This window comes from Homo sapiens, chromosome 17, assembly GCF_000001405.40.
Source record: "Homo sapiens chromosome 17, GRCh38.p14 Primary Assembly".
Taxonomy (NCBI): Eukaryota; Metazoa; Chordata; class Mammalia; order Primates; family Hominidae; genus Homo; species Homo sapiens.
In genome coordinates, this window is record NC_000017.11 from 27,560,464 (window position 1) to 27,582,152 (window position 21,689).

At 49.8% G+C, this 21,689-nt stretch overlaps 1 protein-coding gene across 19 annotated transcripts in view, besides 3 other annotated features; it reads left to right on the forward strand.

Annotated features, from left to right (window-relative positions):
* Positions 1 to 21,689, forward strand: part of KSR1 (kinase suppressor of ras 1) — a 169,988-nt gene that overhangs the window by 104,016 nt on the left and 44,283 nt on the right. For all 19 annotated transcript variants that reach the window (XR_934587.4, XR_007065523.1, XM_047436989.1 and 16 more), the window contains one exon: positions 17,029 to 17,176. Coding sequence is in view for 15 of the 19 variants with exons in the window: in XM_047436985.1 (XP_047292941.1) it covers positions 17,029 to 17,176 (148 nt within the window). In the remaining 4 variants the exon portion in view is untranslated. The remainder of the gene's footprint in view (positions 1 to 17,028; positions 17,177 to 21,689) is intronic.
* Positions 6,626 to 7,578: an enhancer, noted in NCBI's record as "H3K4me1 hESC enhancer chr17:25894115-25895067 (GRCh37/hg19 assembly coordinates)". NCBI's record gives its function as "activates a minimal SCP1, AML or CMV promoter by ChIP-STARR-seq in naive H9 embryonic stem cells {active_cell/tissue: H9 hESC(naive)}" and the evidence as "EXISTENCE:reporter gene assay evidence [ECO:0000049][PMID:30033119]".
* Positions 9,332 to 10,092: an enhancer, noted in NCBI's record as "H3K27ac-H3K4me1 hESC enhancer chr17:25896821-25897581 (GRCh37/hg19 assembly coordinates)". NCBI's record gives its function as "activates a minimal SCP1, AML or CMV promoter by ChIP-STARR-seq in naive H9 embryonic stem cells {active_cell/tissue: H9 hESC(naive)}" and the evidence as "EXISTENCE:reporter gene assay evidence [ECO:0000049][PMID:30033119]".
* Positions 18,832 to 18,901: an enhancer, noted in NCBI's record as "active region_11908". NCBI's record gives its function as "activates an Ori minimal core promoter by ATAC-STARR-seq in GM12878 lymphoblastoid cells {active_cell/tissue: GM12878}" and the evidence as "EXISTENCE:reporter gene assay evidence [ECO:0000049][PMID:35858748]".

A 21,689-nucleotide genomic window follows, 5' to 3' on the forward strand; every position in this document is an offset into this window, starting at 1 on the left:
GATTTTTGTTGTGATCCTGACTGGACATGTTTCTCTTTCCGCTCTCCTCTACCCTTGCGTTCCTGTGTTTAAGATGAGGCCTTCTCCCAGAGATGGGGGACAAAGCTGCCTTACTCCTGCCACCATTTTGGTTTCCCAGTGGCTGGGGGTGGCCAGAGCTCTGTGTGGACACCAGGAATGTAGGCTGTATGAGGCAGTAGGATGTGTGAGACCTAACCAGGAAAGCGAACCCGCATTTGGCTCCTGGGGTGCAGCTTGAGTCGGCATGACTATGGCCCTCATTCCTAGCCTCTCCTTCCCACCCCTCCTCCTGTCGGCCCCATACTCTCTCTTTGAGAGCCAGAGGCCCAGCTGTTCTTACAACCTTGCTCTTTGGCAACTGGGAGCCTCCCCAGGAAGCAGCACACACCCTCACCCAGCCTCCTGGAGGGATCTGTGCCAATGTGTCAGCCCAGCAGCACAGGGCTGCCTTGGTACCAGCCCAGTGGGGGCTGGGCCACACAGCTCTCCACTTAGGATGGGGAAATGGTGGCAAGTGGTGGACTGGCATGCCTGTATCACCTGGCCAGTCAGGAGAGGAGCTGAAGTTGGAGCATGGAAGGAAGGGGCAAGCTACAAGGCCAGCATTGTATAGATGTCATCCTGTTTCATCCTTATCCCTGGGACAGGAGACAGGGAGATCTGATGATCCCCTGCAAGCTGATGGCAGGATGAAGATTCAAACCCAGGTCCTTGTACTTCCTTCTCATACACAATTTTGTCATCTAATATCTTACCCAGAATAGCACAGTTTTGGGGCTACTGTATGATATGTAGTTGTGTAAATGAATTGACTGCCTGCCTTTGTGTGTGTGCACGTGTGTCTCTCTCTTCCCCCCTCATTTCTTCTTTCCTTTACATTCACTCGTTACTCATATGCACCCATTGATCACTTACCTTTTACCTGGTACCTTGATTAATTATCACAGAGGATTAATTGATGAGCAAAATAGTCTGTCCTGGATGCTTACAGCTAGTGTGATGCACACGTCTGCAAATAACTAGGGTGCGTAGCTGACTGCTGGCCCCAAGGAGCGGGGAAGGGATGAAGCATGGTCAGGTACAGAGCTGAGGTCCTACTTCCATTCAGTTATTTATTCACTCACTCAGTGTGTATTTAGCACCTGTTGTGTGCTCGGCACTGTTCTAGCCACTGAACATGAGTTCCTGTCCTTCTGGAACTGGCAGACATCACTTTCTCCAATAGATGAAGTCATTAATTTTTCTTATCTTGAGCCAAAGGTACCCACTTTTCAGGGTGGGGGTTCCCCTGGTTTCATGAAATCTGAAAAATCATGAGCATGAATGTCCTGCTTAGTCCTGTACTGCTTGGTGTTTGTTTGTTTGTCTGTTGTTTGTTTGTGGCAGAGTCTCGCTCTGTCGCCCAGGCTGGAGTAGAGTGACGCAATCTTGGCTCACTGCAACCTCCACCTCCCGGGTTCAAGTGATTCTTGTGCCTCAGCCTCCTGAGTAGCTGAGACCACAGGAACATGCCACCACACCCGGCTAATTTTTGTATTTTTAGTAGAGACGGGTTTTTTCCATGTTGGCCAGGCTAGTCTTGAACTCTAGTCCTCAAGTGATCTGCCCGCCATGGCCTCCCAAAGTGCTGGGATTACAGGCATGAGCCACCAGGCCCGGCCTTGCTTGGTGTTTTTGATCAATCCTTTGGATTTCTGGGCTGCCCAGTCCAGTGAAAACTGACTAGACTAGAAGCACCATGTTGGCAGGGACCTGGCTATTTCATTCACAGCTCTATCCCCAGTGCCTGGCATGTGGTGGGTTTTCTTGTTGAATGATTGGATTCAAATAACATTATCCAAAGAATTTTGGTCTCTTGGCCCAAGGCGTCTCAGGAGCTCTCACCTGGGCCAGTGAAGGTTGCGTTACAAGGATCTCTGGGGAGGGTGAAGACGAGGTGGCTGCCGGTGGCCTGCTGAATCCCAGGGCTCCGAAACTGCCTCAGGCTTCTGTCGGCCACAGAACTTGAGCAGGACTGTGTGCCTATAGCCCTGCCATGAGATGGCTTTGGTGTAGTGTGTGCCTGAGCCCCCTCTGGGGACTACCTGGCTCCTGAGTGGTCAGCTTGTGTGTGTTCCCTCCTCCTCCTAGGACCACCTCAAAGGCAAGATTGCTCTAGAACAGATCTGACTATGGCCAGATATCATTGGGAAACATTTATGTCAACACTGCACTGTTTTAAATATTATAAAGCAGCAATCTCTTATTACCCTTCTTTTAAAAAAATAGCACATAAATTTCAGTGGCCCCTGCTCCTAGCTATGTACCTTTGGGGGAGGCCACAGGATTGGGAAACAAAATTGTTTGAGTGTCACCTCTGGAAGTAAATGGCCTTGGAGGCAGACAAAATTTTGACAAAATTCTTCCTTTGCCACTTGCCAGCATTGTGACCTTGGACAGGTCCCTTGACTTCTCTGAGCCTGCTTACTGTCTTAGCTGCTCTTGCTGGAAACCTGGGAGTCGTTTCTGACTCATTGTGCTTCCTCAATGCCCACGTGGAATCAGCTAGCAAATCCTACTGGCTCTATGTCCAAGTATGGGTCTCAAGTCCTTTTGCATCTCTTTTCCATCACTGCCACCTCCCTGGTCCTGACTAGTCCTCGGACTGTTGCAGTTTCCCCATTCGCTCCCTATATCCACTCTTTACCCTCTTGATTTCATTCTTCGTGAGCTAACAGTGGTTTTAGCAAATCCGGTTATGTTACTTTCTTACTTTCTCTTTTTCCTTTCTCCTTTCCTGTTTCCTTTCCTTTCCATTTTCCTTTTCTGTTTTTTTGCTGCCCAGGCTGGAGTGTAGTGGTGCAATCATGGCCCACTGCAGCGTTCAACTCCCGGACTCAAGTTATTCTCCTCCTCCCCAGTAGCTAGGACTACAGGTATGCACCACTGTGCCCAGCTATGTTTTTATTTTTTAGTTGAGATTGGGTCTCACTCTGTTGCCCCAAGCTGGTCTCAAACTCCTGGCTTCAAGTGATCCTCCCACTTGGCCTCCCAAAGTGTGGGGATTACAGGCACGAGCCACCGAGCCTGGCTAGATAGTTCTGAGTTAAATATTCTGTCAGTGTCTTGTTACGCTTAGCACAAAATCCAAACCCTTCACCTACCTTTGAGGCCCCTTAAGTATTCAGTATCTGCCACCTTCTTCCACGTCATCTCCTGCCTTTCTGCACTCTGCCACTGGCAGGAGAACGCATCAGATGGTTTCCTGTCTTAGCCCAGGGCCTTTGTATGTTCTGTTTCCTCTGCCTGGAAGTTGCTGTACCCTTGTGGCTAGTGCCATCTCATCCTCTGACCGGGACTTAGAGGTCAGCTCTTCAGAGAGGCCACCTTGTCTAAGCTTAGAGGCCTGCTATACCTGCCGCTTTATCTCAGCATGCTCTTTCCTTTTAGCACTTATTCACAAGCTTCAATTATGTATTTTAGCTATTTTTTTATTTGTACAGTTGGTATTCGGTAGCTTTTTTTTTTTTTTTTTTTTTTTTTGAGATGGAATTTCACCTTGTTGCCGAGGCTGGAGTGCAATGGCACGATCTCGGCTCACTGCTACCTCCACCTCCCAGGTTCAAGCTATTCTCCTGTCTCAGCCTCCCAAGTAGCTGAGATTACAGATACCCGTCACCACACCCAGCTAATTTTTTTGTATTTTTAGTAAAGACAGGGTTTCACCATGTTGGCCAGGCTGGTCTCGAACCCCTGGCCTCAGATGATCTGCCTGCCTCGGCCTCCCAAAGTGTTGGGATTATAGGCGTGAGCCCCCGCACCTGGCCTTCAGTAGCTATTTGTTGACTGGATGGGATGGATAGATGGACAAATGGAAGAATGACATGGCACCAGGGCTCATAGTAAGTACTTACTTAATCGAAGTTATATTCTTCTATTCCTAGTTAGAACTTTTTTCAAAGCAAGTTCAGATACCTGTTGGCTTAAAACAGAGACTTACCAGTTTAGGCAATACAAATCCAAGGAAGTCTGGATGCAGGGGCTCAGGTGATGCCATTAGGATGTGCCTGTGGGACAGGCTTGCTCCGCATGGCAGGTATGAAGAGCACAGGCAGCTGAGCCTCACTACCTTCTACTGTAGTCATGCTTGTCCATGAAGGGCTGTTTCCCTTGGCTGAAAAATAGCTGAAAAATCCCAGAGAAGGCTCTGATTGGCTTGGCTTTGACCACATGTTCATACTGTAACCAATCACTGGGCTAAGAAGATGGAAGACCCCCCCCCCCCACCTCCCCCACCCACAGTAGGCTCAGGAAATGGGTTCTTGGAGGAAAGACAGCCCTGATAACAGAAGGCAGAGACGTGTAGAAACTTTTCCTCCCTCAGAGATGATTTGTCAGAGGCTTTGCAGCTCCACAGGAAGGGTCTGCAGAGATCATGTTTCTAGACTACAGTAGGTGAGCCCACCCTCCAGTTTTTGTTTTTAATAACATTTGTTATTTCTCTCACTATGAAATCAATGTTTATTTTAGAAAATAATAGAAAGGCAAAGAAAACCCTACTCAGAGACAACCATTGGCTGTTAGCTTTTTAGGTGTTTTCTTAATATCCAGTAATTTACATATATGTTTATTTTCAAAGTGTGTAAAGTATAGAAATTATAGAAAACAGTAACAGCTCCCATTTATTATGGTTTGCACTGTAATCTTACTACTCAAAGGAAACACTGTAAACCATTTGATGCATTTCCTTCCAGTCAACCAACTTTGCTAGGCTTCTCTTTTTCTTTTTCTTTGTAGTTTATTTATGAATTTATGCTGTAATTCTTTAGCAGGCACTCCCATTGTGCCTGGGACTGAGCTGTGAGCTTTATGTGGAATCTCATTCACTCCTCTCAGTAACTGTATGAGGAGGCAGTGCTTTTATCCTCAGTATAAAATAGAGATGGAAAAACTACGTGAAATTATGTTTATTTAGTTTTGAGATGGCATCTCACCCTGTCACCCAGGCTGGAGTGCATTGGCACAATCTTGGCTCACTGCATCCTCCATCTTTTGGCCTCAAGCAATCCCCCTACCTTAGTCTCCCAAGTAGCTGGGACTACAAGCACACCACCACAGCAGGCTAATTTTTTTGTATTTTTGGTAGAGACAGGCTTTTGCCATGTTGCCCAGGCTGGTCTCAAACTCCTGAACTCAAGCAGTCCACCTGCCTCAGCCTCCCAAAGTGTTGGAATTACAGGTGTGAGCCACCACAGCTGGCCACTAATTATTATTTTAAAACAGCATTCTGTGAATCTAATTATGAACATCCATTGTAGAAAAATTTTAAAATACAGAAAAGTTTAAAAATAAAATAAAACCCCCACATAACCCTGCCAGCCACTGATAGCCAGCACTTAACTGTTTTCTACATTTTTTTTTTCATTTGCATGGACTCCAGTTCACGGTTTCTGGTGTAGACCTCTAGGAGTTTTGACAGCTGAGCATCCTTTTGAAGGTTGTCCCATGAGCCATCCCAGGCATCTGCTGCAGTTCATAGGGTTCTTCCTGTTGGTCTCCATACCACTCACCCGAAGCATGCGAGAAGCTGCAGGGGCTTGGGGGCAGTTGGAGTTCATGTGGGGGTGGGGGTTCCCCAGATGATTCACTGGAAGGAGGGAGATGACCGTGTTCTTATTGACTCAGGTCCTACCTTTTGGAGGGAGGTGGCAAGGCAGGGAAAACCTCTTGGTGGCCTTGCATCCTGGACATCCTGGGTGCCTGGTCCCCAGCCCCTGCTGCAGGGCCTGCTGGAGCCTGCACATCTCCCACCCAGCACCTGCCCCGGGAAGTATGTGCTGACTCCCCAGCTCCCAGGCACAAACTATTTTTGGCTGCAGTGACTGTTCACTACAGTCATGAAAACAGAAACCCCTCTCCCTGCCTCCTTCTTCCCTGGGACACTGCACTGGGGGCCAGGGCTGCCGGGGACCCTGGGCTCAGGCCCCCTTGTCATGAATCGCCTGTGGAGCTGGGTGACAGCCAAGGTGTCCAGGGGCACAGGGCCCCCACCTCTGGGGATGCCAAGAGAAGCCCGAGGCGTGAGCCCACCTGGGCTGGAGGATTATGAGGTAGGCACGGGGGTCTGGGCGCAGGAGGCCATTCCACAGCTCCCTGGAGTTGAGTCTGTTTGCTAGACTCTGAGTCCCTGCTTTGCTACCTGGCTGTAGAACACGTGTGGAGAAATCGCATGTTGGGGCAGAAGGTGCTTGTTTCATGACTTCATTCGCTGTCTTCTGTGTGATAAAGTCACTGGGGATCAGTTAGAATCTTCCTGAAATAGATCCTCCCCATCCTTCTAGTGAATAGTGTTTGGTCATTTCCTGCTTTTGAGTAGGACACACACTTGTTCTGAGCATGCTGCTTTTTTACAGGGAGCTTAAGAACGTGGAGCTGTATAGGCTGATCCAGCTCTACCTCTCCATGCTTCTGGTTGACCAGGCCAGGGAGGCCGATGGTTATAGAGACTGTGAGTGCTGACTTTGGGGTCACACAGACCAAGGTCCAAATCCAGGCCCTGTTACTCAGGGCTTGCAGTGTCTTAAGGTGTGTAACTTAATCTCTATGAAGCTCAGTTCCTTAGCTACCAAGCAGTTGTGCCTAGGCTACTTACACGGTGGTGATAATACCAATAGTTGTTATTTTTATGATTAGACTGATTGTGAAAAGGGAAAATACTTCAAGAAGCTGTGTAAGAATCCATGTGCCATGGCCCTGAGTGGGTCTCAGGACCTGGGCGTTAGGGTGTCGCTGGTGACGTGGGATCTGTTTCTTCTTTTCAAAAAGAAGAAAAGTGCATTGTCACCAAAATGGGGGTGGGGCTCACATCTGTAATCCCAGCAATTTGGGAGGCCGAGGCAGGAGGATTGCTTGAAGCCAGGAGTTTGAGACCAGCCAGACTGACATAGTGAAACCTCGTCTCTTTTTTAAAAAAAGTTGTAGTGGGTAGGAGTGGGCAAGAACATGGACTTGAGGAGTTCCGCCCATCTGCCACCTTCTAAGCCACTGAGGCCTAGGACCTGGCTAGGCTTCAGGTGAGGCCACGAGCCCAGAGCCGCATTGCTTCTGGATTGCACAGGGCTCTGGGCCCACAAGGCACTCATGTGACTTGGCGTCCCTTAGGCAGAGGGAGGTGATTCTCAGGGCAGACCTCAGGGACATCTTGACCTTGGCTCCCTTCTTGGACTAGTGCAGAAAACCTGGAAGGAATGAAACCTTTGCACTTGGGCAGGGAATGCGTGCTGGAAACTGGCTCGCCCTCCCGGGGGCATGGTATATCCTGGCGTTGGTTACTGGCAAGTGTGTCTGGACACCTGGATCCTGGTCCTGGCACCATTGTTTGGGGTGACCCAGGCAGGTTTTCTCCTCTGTGAAATGAGTGCTGACTAGATTGTCCCTAAGTTCCCTTTGGAGCCTGCCTTTGATCTCGGCAGAGAAGGGGTTTCTTCCCATCCCCTTGAAGATCCATTGGCCCCTTTCGTGCCCCTAGAGCCTGGTAGCTGTGGCATTGGTCTCCCCAGCTTCTCCTCGGCCATCTGCTCAGGGTCTCTGTTGAGGTCCCATAGCTTTGATGCCTGTTACTGCTGTGGGGCAGAAGTTGTTTTCAAGGTTTCTGGAAAACCACAGAGGGGCTGCCTGAGGGGAGCAGGAGCTCCTGAGACACCTGTCTCCTAGTTGGACCCCCATGGGGCAGCTCCAAAACCCGACAGCTCTTGTTCCTAGGCGGAGGAGCCTGGTTCTTCTGTCTCCAGCTCTGGGCTCACTTGCTGTGGCCTGGCTCATCTCCCATCTGAATGGACAGACCACCCCAAAGGACAGACCTCACGTGCTAAACACTGGGACATGTCCCTCTGGTGGACGGCATCTGTGATTTGGCTTCTGGCCCCACAAGGGACCCACCAGACTCCAAGGCTGGTGCCCGAGGCCTATTTGATAGTCTGGACGCCCTCTGGCACCAGGGCCCTCACTGGCTGAATTCCGAGCTCTTGCCCTGTGCATGTGGAGGAGGAGGGGACTCGTCTGACCATTCTCTTTTTCAATGGTGTGTCCGAGCAGGGGAGAATGGGGAGGGGGAGCAGTAAAGATGCCGGGGACATGGCCACACCCAGGAACCCCTGTTTAGTTCTGTCAGTGCCTTGACCCCCAGGAGAGCTGGGGTCCCCCATGGGGAGTTACATCTCTAGCCACACCTAGCACCCTGCACCCTCCTCATAGGATTACCGCATCCCAGTTTGCCGGCAACAGTCCCAGCTGAGGCCTGCTGTCAGGGCTCTGCCTTCCGTAGAGGAATAGTGTCCCTGTTGAGGGGCACGTCCTGTCCCTACCCTCCTCTGTAGCCCCATCCTCAGCCAGCTGCCATCCCTGAAAGGGCCTCTGATCCCAGGCCCTCAGCTTTAGCCCCTGCACATAGCCCTATTTTGTGCAGGGCGGGACTTTCTCATTTGCCAGTCCCCTAGAAGTCAAGTGTCACCCAAGGTTAACGCAGCTTTTTGGCTGTGGCTCACCCTCCCACGTTCCATCCTGACCCACTTTTCCTTTTGAATGTTCTTTAAACATTTAAAAAATTTAATGTATTCATTTTGACTCAAGTTCTAGTGTGGGATCTTGTGGATAATACTGTTTCTTTTTTTAAAAAGAATTAAAATTTTACAATCACGCATTTTGTAAAATGTTACAAAACATCCTGGGAGTAGGGAAACCCACTCTGTAGAAGCCTTCCCATCTCCTCTCTACATTTTGGGAGTAATTGGGGGACACACCAGTGCCCAAAGCTGGAGTAGCTGTGTGTGTTTCTCTAATGCAGGACACATCCGGCCATTTTCACACAGGAGCCTGGTTTTAGAAATGTGTGTTGATGATGCAGAGAAAGGTGACAAGATGTGGGTGTGCCCGCAAGCCTGTCCTGCTGACTGTGTGCTGGGGGTTAGGTGGGGAGGTGGGAAAGGAGGAGGAGCCAGGCCCAGGGCCACCAGCAGGTGGAGCCCAACAGCATTGCTATGTGTTTGGGGGTTGCCAAACTCTGGCCCTTGGGCCAAATCTAGCCCAGCACTATTTTTTGTAGAGCCTTGTGAACTAAGAATGGTTTTTACATTTTGAACTGGCGGGAGGAATTAAAAACAACAGAATATTTCGTGACCCGTAAAAGTTACATGAAATTTGTTTCAGTATCCATAGTTAAATTTTATGGGAGCACAGCCACACCCATTTGTGTACGTGTTGTCTGTGGCTCTGGTGGTGCCACAGCAGCAGAGTGGAGCAGTTTCGACAGAGACCATGTGGCCCACAAAGCTGAAGAGACTCTGTGTGGCTTTCAGAAAAAGTTTGCCTATTCTCACACTATGTATTATACCTCTGGATTTATAGAAGGAGGAATGGGGCCTTTCCACGCTGATAGGGAGAGCAAGGAGGCAGCCACAGGACAAGCTTTCCAGGAGGGTGGGCTGGCCTGGAGAGAAAGTGGTGGCTGTGGTGACAGCGGGTGCAGCTGGAAGCTAGATATCTGGTCCCAGGCAGAGTTGAAAAGTGCCAGCCTCCTCCAAAGGACTGGAGTGGAGGCTAAGTGGGATTAAAAGGGAACATGGAGAGACCTCCTTGGAGGAGCCTCCTGCAGCTGCTTTAAACCCCACTGCCAGAGCTCACCCTAGCTGGGCCCAGGGATAGAGCGGTGTGGGGTCTGGAAAGTCATATGTGACCTGTGATGCCAGTGGTGGCAAATAAACGCTGCCCTGGGAAAAAGGGCTCACTTCATAATGCAAGGCAGTGGACACAAGGGCTGGCTGGTGGTGGGTTGAGATGGCCTTGTTCTGTGTGGCCTTGAGCAAGTTACCCGCCCTCTCTCAGCCTTATCTCCCATCTCAGGCTGTTAGGAGGATTGCATGTGCTGACCTCTGTGGTTCATCTGACAGTGCCTGGCACGCAGGACATGTGTAATAAATGCTTATTGCCCTTTCTTGAACCCCTCTCATCTCTTTCTCCCCTTTGACCTCTATTCCTCCACACCCACCACTGTACCTTCTTTCTAAACAAGCTTTCAATCCCAGGCTTACCAATGCATACGTGAGAAGAAGCCAATCCTGAAGGTTCCAGTTCAAGCCCAGCTCCCTACTGTGAGCCCCTATTTGCTTTGTGGAGAGGGAGGCAGGGACCTGGGCACAGGAGAGGACGTCTCCTGGGACAGCTGTGAGTTTGGGCTGGGCTCGAGTTCAGTGGAAGGAATGTGGCCTCCTGAACACAGCCGTGCTGTGGCCACATCTGCCTTCTGGTCTGGACATCCCCAGACCTGTTCTGTCCTGGGCTGCCTTAGCCAGACTTTGGGCCCCAACGCCTGTCTGCCCTCATGGTCCGCACCTCCAGAAATTCTGATTTGGCCGGTCTGAAGTGGGGCCCAAGCATTGCGATTCATTTTTAAAGTCCCTGGAAAATTCCAGGGCACAACCCGGATTGAGAGCCGTTGATTTGTTCTAGGCAGAACCACTCATTTTATAAATGGGAAATCCGAAGCCCAAAGAGGGGCGGGGACTTGTCCGAGGTCAGGGGCATTGCGGGGACCCAGTCTGGCTCTTTGCTTCACTGTGTTGGCCTCTAGGGAATGGTGTTAAGAGGGGAGTTTGCCCTCAAGGAACCAACTGACTCTCCTGGGAGGGGGTTTTGTTTGCCTTGCTTCCCAGGGGTGGGGTAGTGAGGAGGCTGGGCCCGGAACTGGCCACAAGCAAAGCCAACATCCCCAGGCTTTCTGCTGATTTCTGTGGAAGCCCCTGGAGGCTGCCTGACCTGGGCTCTTGCCTCAGCCCTTCCTGTGCCTCCCAGAATATCTGACTGTTACTATCCAAGTCTCACTCCTCCCTCTCCATGAGCCCCAATGGTGGGTGCAGGTAGGAGAAACATCTGTCAGGTGCTCCCTTGCCAATTTGAGACATGTGGCTCCCAGCCTGGGCTGCCATAGAAACCTTCTCCACTTGCTCCTCTCTCTCTCTCTCCTTCCAGCCCCGCTGGGCTCTGGCCTCAGAGGGATGTGCAGGGTCCTATGTCACCACCCACAGGGCTCTAGGAGCCCACCTTTGGCCTCTCTGGTCTGACCAGTTCCTGGGGAAAGGTCTGGGGTTAAGGATCCCTTTCATCACCCATGCACACCAGTGATCCAGGTTCCACAGATGGACCTGTGTTCCAGCAGCACTGCCTGAGGCATGTTCTAGGGATGCAAAACTGAACAGAAACACAGAGCCTGGGTTTGCTTCTTGATCTTCCTTCAACCCAGCTTTCACCCGTGTTCTTGCGTGAAGTGCAGTGTGTTTGTATACGTGGCCGGTACAGCAGCGGTGCCGCCCCTGGCATTTTCCTGGTCCACCTGACTGGCCACAGGGAGTGTGGCGCCTCTCAGTGTCAGCAGGCCCAGGTTTCTAAGTATAGACCCCAGGCAGCCCCGTGGCTGCTAGTAAATCCCTGGATACCATTTGATACCTAACTGGCCCTGAGCTGCCGGCTTACCCAGCATGGCCTGTGACGCCAGCCTCTGCCAGCTGCTGGGGGAGGGGGTAGCACGTTGCCCAAACCCATCCTCACCCTCCACTGGAGAGAATGGAGACCAGCAGTCTCCTGCTAATGACATGACTGGATTGTCACAGACTGGGAGTGACCTCAGCACTCAACTGGCCCTGCTCTCCAATTATTATCAGAAAGAATAACTTAATCCCACCTACTGGAGAACATATCTCCTGGTTTGAGAGAGACAGGCAGAGGCAGGGAGCCAATGATCTCTGATGCTGTCACTCTGCTCCTCATTCCTGCATCCCCACCTGTGTGCACCCATGCTAACCCTGAGACTTGTCGGAGCTGGGACTGGGCATCTCTCAAGATGGATTGGGCATCTCCTATGATGGTCTGGGCATCCATGTCTTCCGTTTTTGGTTTGTAGTTCCATATTTTGTTCTTTAGACAGAAGCTGGGGTGGGCAGTAATTCCTTGGAGGCAGTACGGACTCCCAGCCGGGTTCTCCAGAACTTTGGGGTATGGGCAGAGAGAGGGGCCTTTTGCCCTTGGCTTTGAGACAACTTAGCATCTTCTGGGCACCTCCTGGCAGATGGGATGCCCTCCTGGGGCACTGGAGCCTCTCAGACCTGAGAAGGTTTCAGAGTGGCTTCACCTGCGAGTTCACCTTCAGCAGGTGGCAAAACTGATTCCCTAATTTGTTTTTGGTTTAGAGATGATCCAGGAAAGTTGTGAGTTACTCTGCTTTGAAAACATCTTCCTAAATCAGACTTGGCTGTGCCTGTCACTGTGGGTGGGCGAGTCACATCCATGTGTGAGGTTTCGGGGGTGCTGAGTTGCTTTGGGGCACTGTTGAGTCATGATACTGGGAGATATCAGGGCCCCTCGCAGGGGCCTTCACAGCCACGCGACCGTCCTGGTAGCTTTCCTTTCTTGATTAAGTTAACATTGGGTCTCAGAGTCAGTTGTAGAGTTGGGAGGTGGGGCACTTTGTTTCCAGGGTGGGCCCCTCACTGAGAAAGCCTGGTCCCCTGGAGTACTTGCTACTGGGCCTGCATCCTCCCCCGTTTGCCTACAGAAATAAAGTTTTAGATGTCACTCACTGATCAGATTAACCTTGGAAGGCATCAGATTCTTCCCATGGGGTCTCCGCGCTTAGGCCTGGAAGCCCCATGTTCCTCATGGACATAATTTGTTTTGTTTGCACAGATTTGAATTAGTTATCACCATGTAAAAGCCAGCCATTTAAAAATAAAAATTCAGATTTCTTTAAAACCAGAAGTTCTGGTGCCCCTCCATTGCCTGCCCCTTTCCCCAACACCAAGGGAGGAAAGCGGGGGTTTTCTGTTTAGCATTGCCATTGCTGCCGTTGGGTTTCTTGTTCAGTAAAAAGGCAGAGAAGTGTGTTAAATCAAGTTTAGCCTAGAGCTACCTCCTTAGATATTTTAAGTTCAGCCTAAAGGTTTTTCTGTATATCATGAACTATAACAAGTGGAGGTATAAAAACACTGTAGACTGCACTTGTGCCAATCAAATGTAGCCAACTGTTCGAATCTTGTTCAAATAAGGCAAAGGAGCTGTAACCAATCCAGCTGTTTCTGTACCTCACTTCTATTTTCTGAAAGTAGGTAGAAATTAATTTACTTCGAAAAAAATAATTTCCCCTGAAAGGTAGCTGCTGTATCCCAAGGCTTTGCCAGGTTAACAAGTGGACAGCATGGAATATTTGGAGGAGGTTTGGAATCGTGCGCACGTGGGTTTCAATTCTGCTCAGCCACTTGTTAAGCTGTGAAGTCTCTGAGCCTCAGTAAGATGGACTTAACTCCATCTACTTGCGGAGTTGATTAAAGATAAAATAATGTATACAAAGCCCTAGGCATATTGTTCTGGCAAATAGTTTGTAATAATAAATGTAGTTACTTTGAGAACTTGAAACTTGGTATGGGTGAGGAGGAGATGAATAAAAAGAAAGAAAAAGAATCCCTATTTGCATTATAGTTAGGTTGAAGATTGGGTTTCCTCAGCCTGGCTCCCTCCCCAGCCCCATTAAACATCTCTATCATCATCTGGGCAAACTGCTGAGTCATCACAGCCTTGGAGTATGTGGTGGAGAGACAAACTGAGGACACCCTTCCGGACAAGTAGAGGATTGCTTTGTTCAGATAAGGTGAAGGTTGCTCTTGTGCTTACCCTGACGGTATCGCCAAGGTGCTCTTAACAGTCAAATGAGGGCAAAGATATCCAAACCTCATTTCAGTGGAAGACAGGCTAAGGGAAAGAAAGCAAGACATGTTGATTGTATAGAAGCTTCTGCATGGCACCATTTGTCTAATCTGCCTCCCCTGCTGGTGCCGTTCTCATCAGTGGTTCCTGTGACACTTTAGTTTTATCTTCTGGAAGGCAACCAGGGTTTTGGCCAACCAGTGATGAGCTTCTTGGTACAGTTATGTGTCTGGCTTTATTTTGGTGTGATCATGCTAAGTGGTGATGTGATTCTTGCCTACAGCCCTGAAGATTGAAGAATATACTGAAAAGCTACAAAAGCATCTGCCGTCAGCGGGTACAGTAAAAAACAAACAAATACAGAAAGGCAGGCATCTAGCTCCAGCCTTGCTATGGGAGAGAGGGGTATGGGTTGGGCCTCATACCTTCAGGACTCAGCCAGTATCTTCATTAGGGTTAGTTTTGACGCTTGAGACAAGGAATTACAGCATGTAAATGGAATGACAATGAAATTAGTCCTTAAAAGTAAAATTAGACACAACTTGCTAAAAATCAGGATTGGCTTAGATTCTCAAGAACTGTGAGCTTTATAGCAGTCATTTGATGTGGAATGTCTGGCCTTCTCTGTTACAGAAAATCTGGAAAATATAGAAAGGGTTAAAGACAAAAAAAGGTCTGATCTGGTCCCATAGCTCTTTGAACTCTCTCTGCTCTAGTGCGCATCTTACTGCATTGTAGTTACCTGTTTAAATGTCTGTCACTCCTCCCACTGGGCTGTAGGCCACTTGAGACCAGAGGCATGTCCCATTGGTTTTTTATATTTGTCCCAGGTTTGGTATTGTTGCTGGATATAGGGGTCCCATTCTGGATCCCAAAAGAGGGTTCTTGAGTCTTGCACAAAAAAGAATCCTGGGTGAGTCCACAGAATAAAATGAAGGCAAGTTTATTAGAGAAGTGGAGAAACAAAAGAATAGCAACCCCGTAGGCAGAGCAGCCCTGAGGGCTGCTAGTTAGCTATTTTCATGGTTATTTCTTGACCATATGCTAAACTGGGGTAGATTATTTGTGAATTTTCTGGGAAAGGGGCAGGCAATTCCTGGAACTGAGGGCCCCTCCCCCTCTTTAGACCATATAGGGTAACTTCTGGGCATTGCCATGGCATTTGTAGACTGTCATGGTGCCGGTGGGAGTGTCTTTTAGCATGCTAATGCATTATAATGAGCATATAATGAGCAGTGAGGAAGACCAGAGGTCACTTGGGATACCATCTTGGTTTTGGTGGGTTTTGGCTGGCTTCTTTAGCTCATCCTGTTTTATCATGGGGTCTTTGTGACCTGTATCTTGTGACCTTCTCTCTCACCCTATGATTAAGAATGCCTGACTTCCTGGGGATGCAGCACAGCAGGTCTCACCCTCATTTTACCCAGCCCCTATTCAAGATGGAATGGCTCTGGTTCCAGTGCCTCTGACAGTGTCATGTGGCTCAAAGTAGTCAGAGCTGGAGAGGTTTCCTCCCTCCCTGATGAGAGGAAAGGGCACAAGTTTTGAAGTCCACTGAGCCTTGATTCTACCATTCATTCTTTGTATTTTCCATTGCTTCATAACAAATTTAGCAGCTTAACACACCACCCGCTTATCATCTCATGGTTCTCTAGGTGGAGGAATCCACTCAGGCTCTGCTTATATCCCTACTTGGGATCTCACAAGGCTGAGGTCAAGGTGTAGGCCAGGCCTTCCTCTTACCTGGAAGTTCTGGAGAAGAATCCACTTCACGTTCATTCAGGTTATTGGCAGAATCCATTTCCTTGTGGCTGGAGGTCTGAGGTCCTCATTCCCTCAATGGCTGTCAGCCAGGGGCTACTTTTTTTCCCAGAGGCCACCCCCATTCCCCTCCTCCTTCAAAGTCTGCTTTTCACGCTTCAGGTCTCTTGACTTCTCTGTTACCAGCTCAAGAGAACCCTTTGCTTTTAAAGGGCTCTTGTGATTGGATGAAGCCTACTTGGATAATTTCCCTTTTGCTGTATATAGTAATACCCCCTTTTCTGTAGGGGATATGTTCCAGGACCCTCAGTGGATGCCTGAAACCATGGATAGTACTGAATATATATATATATGATGTATACTGTGTTTTTTCCTATACATACATACCTCTGATAAAGTTAGTAAGTTGGGCACAGTAAGAGATTAATAATCAACAATAACAAAATAGAGCAATTATAACAATACACTATAATGAAAGTTACAGGAATGTGGTCTCTCTTCTCTCTCTCAAAATATCTTACTGTACTGTTCTCACCCCTCATCTTGTGATGCTGTGAGATGATAAAGTGCCTATGTGGGGAGAGGTCGTGGCAGTTGATCTGATAACCAAGATAGCTACTAAGTGACAAACAGGCCGGGAGTGGAGACAGTGTGGAGACGCTGGACAAAGGGACAATTCACGTCTCCGGTGGGATGGAGCTGGATGGCGCAAGATTTCATCACATTACTCAGAATGGTGCATAGTTTAAAACTATAAATTGTTTATTTCTGGAATGTTTCTGGCATTTTCCATTTAATAGTTTTAGGCTATGGTTGGCTGCTGGTAACTGAAACTGCAGATAAGAGGGAGACTTCTGTAATGTAACAAGATCAGGAGCAACACCAGGGGACAAAGGTCACAAGACCACCTTAAAATTCTGCCTGCCACTTTCTTCACCGTATGGCCTAGTGACCTCGTGCAGGTGACATAATCTCTCTGAGCCTCTTTCTTCATCTGTCAGGTGGGGCCAGTGAAAAGTTTTGATAGAAATCAGGTGAGGCAGTAAGTGCCTCTGCAGTGTTTGGTGAGGTTTTTTTGTTTTTTTTTTTTAAATCCTTCCTTTCTTGAGCCAGTTTGATTTGAAATCTCTCTTATCTGATTCAGATACAACAAAATTGTGAAGGGCCATCTTTGTCTGAAGTACTCGTCATTCTAAAAAGTTGTTATGACTCGCTGTTTTTTTTCTGTGCAGAGGAGTAAGAAGAAACAAGCTGGGCAACATGCCCTCGTCCAAACCTTTCTGGTCTTTACTTCCTCCCCTCACCCCCCACCGAGTCTGCTTCAGCTGCTGTCTCTGGGAGCCTGGAGGGTGGGGGCCAGGGAGCTCTGCTTGTGTCCCCAAGCACGTGGTGGCTCTGGTCAGAGGCCGGCCCAGCCAGCAGCTGGCCCCTGCCACTCAGCAGGAGGCCAGCCTGAGGCTGAGGGGCTCCCGGCCCAGCCGACTGCTCACCGCCTCTCTGCCTGTCCCTCTGTCCCCTTAGGAGATCCCCCGAGACCTCACGCTGGATGCCCTGCTGGAGATGAATGAGGCCAAGGTGAAGGAGACGCTGCGGCGCTGTGGGGCCAGCGGGGATGAGTGTGGCCGTCTGCAGTATGCCCTCACCTGCCTGCGGAAGGTGACAGGCCTGGGTACGTGGGGCCTGCCACCCTCTCCCTTGCCTGGCCTGGTGCCCTTGGGGCTGTGGCCTTCACTATGGTGGGTGATGGAGCGGGGCAAGCGTGGCCCAGGGTTTCTGGGGCAGCCTGGAAAGGCCAGGGTTGGATGTTCACAGCCTCCTGAGAAGCTCTCCCAGGGTCCTCAGGGCTCTGGATCCTGGTGGGTCTGGCCAGGCCGAATCTGAGGGGTTTCAGCCATGGTTAGAAATCCCAGGCCTGTCTGCTGGGCTGGGCTGGCCTGGCATGGTTTCCTCTCTGTTGAGGGCTCTGTGTACCCTCTGCCAGCTTCCCACATTCCAGCCCCCAGCCCTCTCCCCGTCTTCTCCTGTCCCCATTGCTGGCTGGGTTCTGTGCTCAGAAGGCACATGCTGATGTGGGCCTGAGCCAAGGGTGATTAGGGAAACTCTATGGCTCTTTAGCTGGGAGTGTGTACGTGGCTGTCCCAGGCAAAGTGTGTAATCCTGGCCTTGCCACGAGGTCCTTGGGAATTATTCACAGGCTTTCTAAATCTTGCGTCGGAAACAGCTTCAAATGCCTGACTTAATGGTCCCACTACCACATAGATAAGGCATTAAAATAAGCCTCATGAATGGAATCAGGCCTGGTTTTTAATTATCTGAGGCCCCTGTCTTATCTCCGTCTGCCTGAGGCTTAAGGAAGGCACCAAGGTTTATATTCTGCCTGGTTTTTTCTTCCCAGAGAGGATCGGGCTTAATTTCCTCTCTGCCCTCATTGTATCAAGTCCTCTGAACACGGCACAGTGTAGAAAGTTGCACTCAATTCAGAAAATCTTGACCTGCCAGGTCTCCCGGCAGATGCTGAAAATAAACACAACAGAAGTGTGGCTGGTGTTCTTGTTCTCACATATTACAGGAGACTGAGCTCAGAGAGGGAAAGGGCTTGGGTAAGGGCACACAGCAGTTGGTGGCTGAGCCAGAATTTGAACCTTGGGCCCTGATGGCGATTGGTTTGTCCCCATGCTTGCCACCCAAGCTGAGATCTTTGGGGTAATTTGTCAGCCCTTCTTTGCTTCCTCCTTATGCCTGGATTTTAAAGAATTGTGGAAGAGTCAGCTTTTAAGTGGTAGTGACCTATTTGTGTCATGCAGGCTGCTGTCTACCTGTCCTAGATGCCAAGAGAGGGAGATCACTAATTTATGCACCTACTGTGTGCCAGGCGTGTGACACACATATTGTGGCCACATCGTTGTAAGAGGTAGTGTTGAGCTCGCTTTGTAGCTGAGGCCTCTCTGACCACTGGAGGCGTTGGATGAGTCATCTGGGGCCCCACACCTGGCATGGAGCAGAGCTGGGCTTTGAACTCAGGTTTCTTGTTCAGAGGGTGCTTTTTCCAGCAGGCCTTAGAGGAGGCCCCTGAAGAAGAAGCATTTTCTGGGTTTCTTCTCTCTCATTTAGTCTCAGCTTGTGGTGCCTCTGCATCCCCAGCAGAGTCCTAGCCCCATCACAGTCCAGGACACCGGCCTTTCGTCTGCCCAGTGCTGGCTGCACTTCACGGGCACCTGCTGGGATCCGCTGGGTACCAGTGATCCCATTAGATTGTGCATCACAGCATCTTCATTGCATCCCCATGGGGCTTGGTGAGAGCAGTCTAGTCAGAGTACAGGTGGGCTATGGAATGAAACCACCTGGGCCCTGCCTGGGCCCAGCACTCTGCTCGGCCACTTAGAACCTGTGGGACCTTGGTGAGTTACTTCACCTCACTCTGCCTCAGTTTCCTCATCTGTAAAATGGCAGTGATAACGACACCTCTCTCAGGGTTGTTGTGAAAAGGAAATGAGTTAACGTAAAGTCCTTAGATCAGAGCCTGGCATGTATTAGATGTTCTTTTCAGTGTGAGGCCTATGAGGTGATAGAAAGTGTTGAAGTCATTTCCTTTGCAATCTCTGGTCTAAAGAAAGGTGAGTGAACAGCTGGGCATGGTGGCCCAGGCCTGTAATCCCAGCATTTGGGAGGCTGAGGCAGGCTGATTGCTTGAGTTCAGGAGTTCAAGCCCCCCCTGGGCAACATGGCAAAACCCTGTTTCTACAAAAAATACAAAAATTAGCCAAGAGTGGTTGTGTGTGCCTGTAATCCCAGCTACTCAGGAAGCTGAGGTGGGAGCATGGCTTGAACCTGGGAGATAGGGGTTGCAGTGAGCCAAGATCATACCACTGCACTCCAGCCTTGGTAACAGAGCCAGATGCTGTCTCACCAAAAAAAAAAAAAAAAAAAAAAAAAAAAAAAAAGTGAGTGAAGGATGGTTGTCTGTGCTGGTGAATAGGAGATGAACATTCCTGCTGATCCTCCCAATCCTTCACCCGAGGCAGATATCACTAACCCACAGATGTTTCTGTGTGACTGTAGTGTCATTCTCAAGCAGCCACTGCCAATCAGCTGGTGTCGGTGCACACATCAAGACCCACTGGCCATCCTCAAGTGGGCCTAGAGCAGTGGTGATTAAATAGGCAACTTGCAACTTTGGGGCTTGTTTCCTTTGGTGGCAAGCTTGCTCCCTTTGGTAGCAGGCTTACTCATAGATTCATGAAATTCATCCTTTCATCTGCTCAATAAGAAACCTGTTTGGTGCCTCCAGTAGGCCAGTCTATGAGCTACAGTGTCAGTCATGGCTGTAGCTCGTAAGGAGCAAGCGGTATGGGAGCACAGGGACTGAGCAACTCCTGTCTAGTCGGTTCCTGAATAGAAAGTCACTGCAGTCAGGTGGGAGGAAGGGTGTTTGAAGAGGGGATGGGATGTGCAAAGAAACTTATGAATTGGGAAGGCTAATTCATCCCCCCTATTCTTGAGAAGTGGCTTGACCACCTCTGATGGAGCTTGTTACCTCCCACAGCTGTTCCGCTCTAGGTTATTCAGAATCAGTAGCATTGTCGGGGGCAAGGTGGGGAGCACGGTGCTGAGATCGATGTTTTCAATTCCCATCCCACCACTTTCTTAGCTCTCTGGCCTTGGGCAGTGTCTGTGGCCTCCCTGAGTCACAGTGACCTCCACTGTACACTGGGGAGAAGAACAGATATTGCGGGAGGGAGGAGGGAGGCAGGGCTTGTGCAATACAGGTGCGTCAGTCCCTTCTCACAGGCTGTAAAGAAATACCTGAAACTGGATTGGTTATTTATTTATTTATGAGACGGCCTGGAGTGCAGTGGCGCGATCTTGGCTCACTGCAACCTCTGCCTCCCGGGTTCAAGCGATTCTTGTGCCTCAGCCTCCCAAGTAGCTGGGACTACCAGTATGCACCACCACACCTGGTTAATTTTTGTATTTTTAGTAGACACAGGGTTTTGCCATGTTGGCCAGGTTGGTCTCGAACTCCTGACCTGGTGATCTGCAGGACTGGATAATTTATATAAAAAAGAGGTTTACTTGGCTTATGGTTCTGCAGGCTCTCCAGGAAGCATAGCAGCTTCTGGTTCTGGAGAGGCATCGGGAAGGCTCCAGGCATAGCGGAAGGCAAGGGGGAGTGAGGCGTCCCACAGTGTAGGAGCAGGAGCAAAAGCAAGAGCGAGAGGGGGCAGGGAGGTGCCACACACTTTTAAACTCACTCTCTCGAGAACAGCACCAAGAGGATGGTGCCAAAACAGTCATGAGAAACCACGCCCATGATCCAGTCACCTCCCACCAGCCCCCACCTCCAACATTGGGATTACAATTCAATATGAGATTTAAAGTTCTTAGCAAGACATTCAAGGCCCTTCCTGATCTGGCCCCACTAGGCTGACCCCCCCAGCTTCATCCCTTGCCTCTCCCCAGCTTGTCCTTACCTCTGACAGCACACAGAACTCTTCGTAGTGACCAGAAGGTGCCGTATGCCCTTACCTTCCCATTATGCTGTTCCCTCTGCCTGGTGCTCCTTCTCCACCTTCTTCCATAGCTGGCTCATGTGGAGCTAGCTTCATAGGTGGCTCCCAGGTGCCACCTCCTCTGGGAAACCTTCCCTGGCACACTCCCTCTCTCCACCCCCACAGCTGATTTAAGGTCTGCTCTTCTGCAGAGCCCCCTGTCCTGGCACAGAGCATACATAGTGTGTTATGTGCCTGTCATGCCCATTCGACTCTACAAGCACAAGGATGGGTCTTTTTAGGCCTTTCCACCCAGCATCCAGCATGTGCTTGAATGGCTGTAGCTCAAACACTACAGAGCCACACAAGCCTCGGGGGCCTCAGGCACAGGATCATGGTAGGGGCAGCCCACAGTCACTCGAAGGCTGGTGTAGAAGGAAGTGGCTGTTGATCCCTTTCTTCCTGGATCTTTTTTCACAAGCCCCAGAGCACTTTGCTGTTGGATGCTCAGAATAGCCCCTCGTCCCAATGTTTGAATTTTCTTAAAGTGGAGTTTTTCCTTCCTTCACACACCCAGCTTCCCTTTCCTAACTCTTAAAGATTGGTCACCCCTTCGGTTTCTGAGGTCACCCCACTTTTGGGGTGGGTTTCCTGGATTGCTCCCCCAAGACCTGCCCATAAGAGCCCTGCACG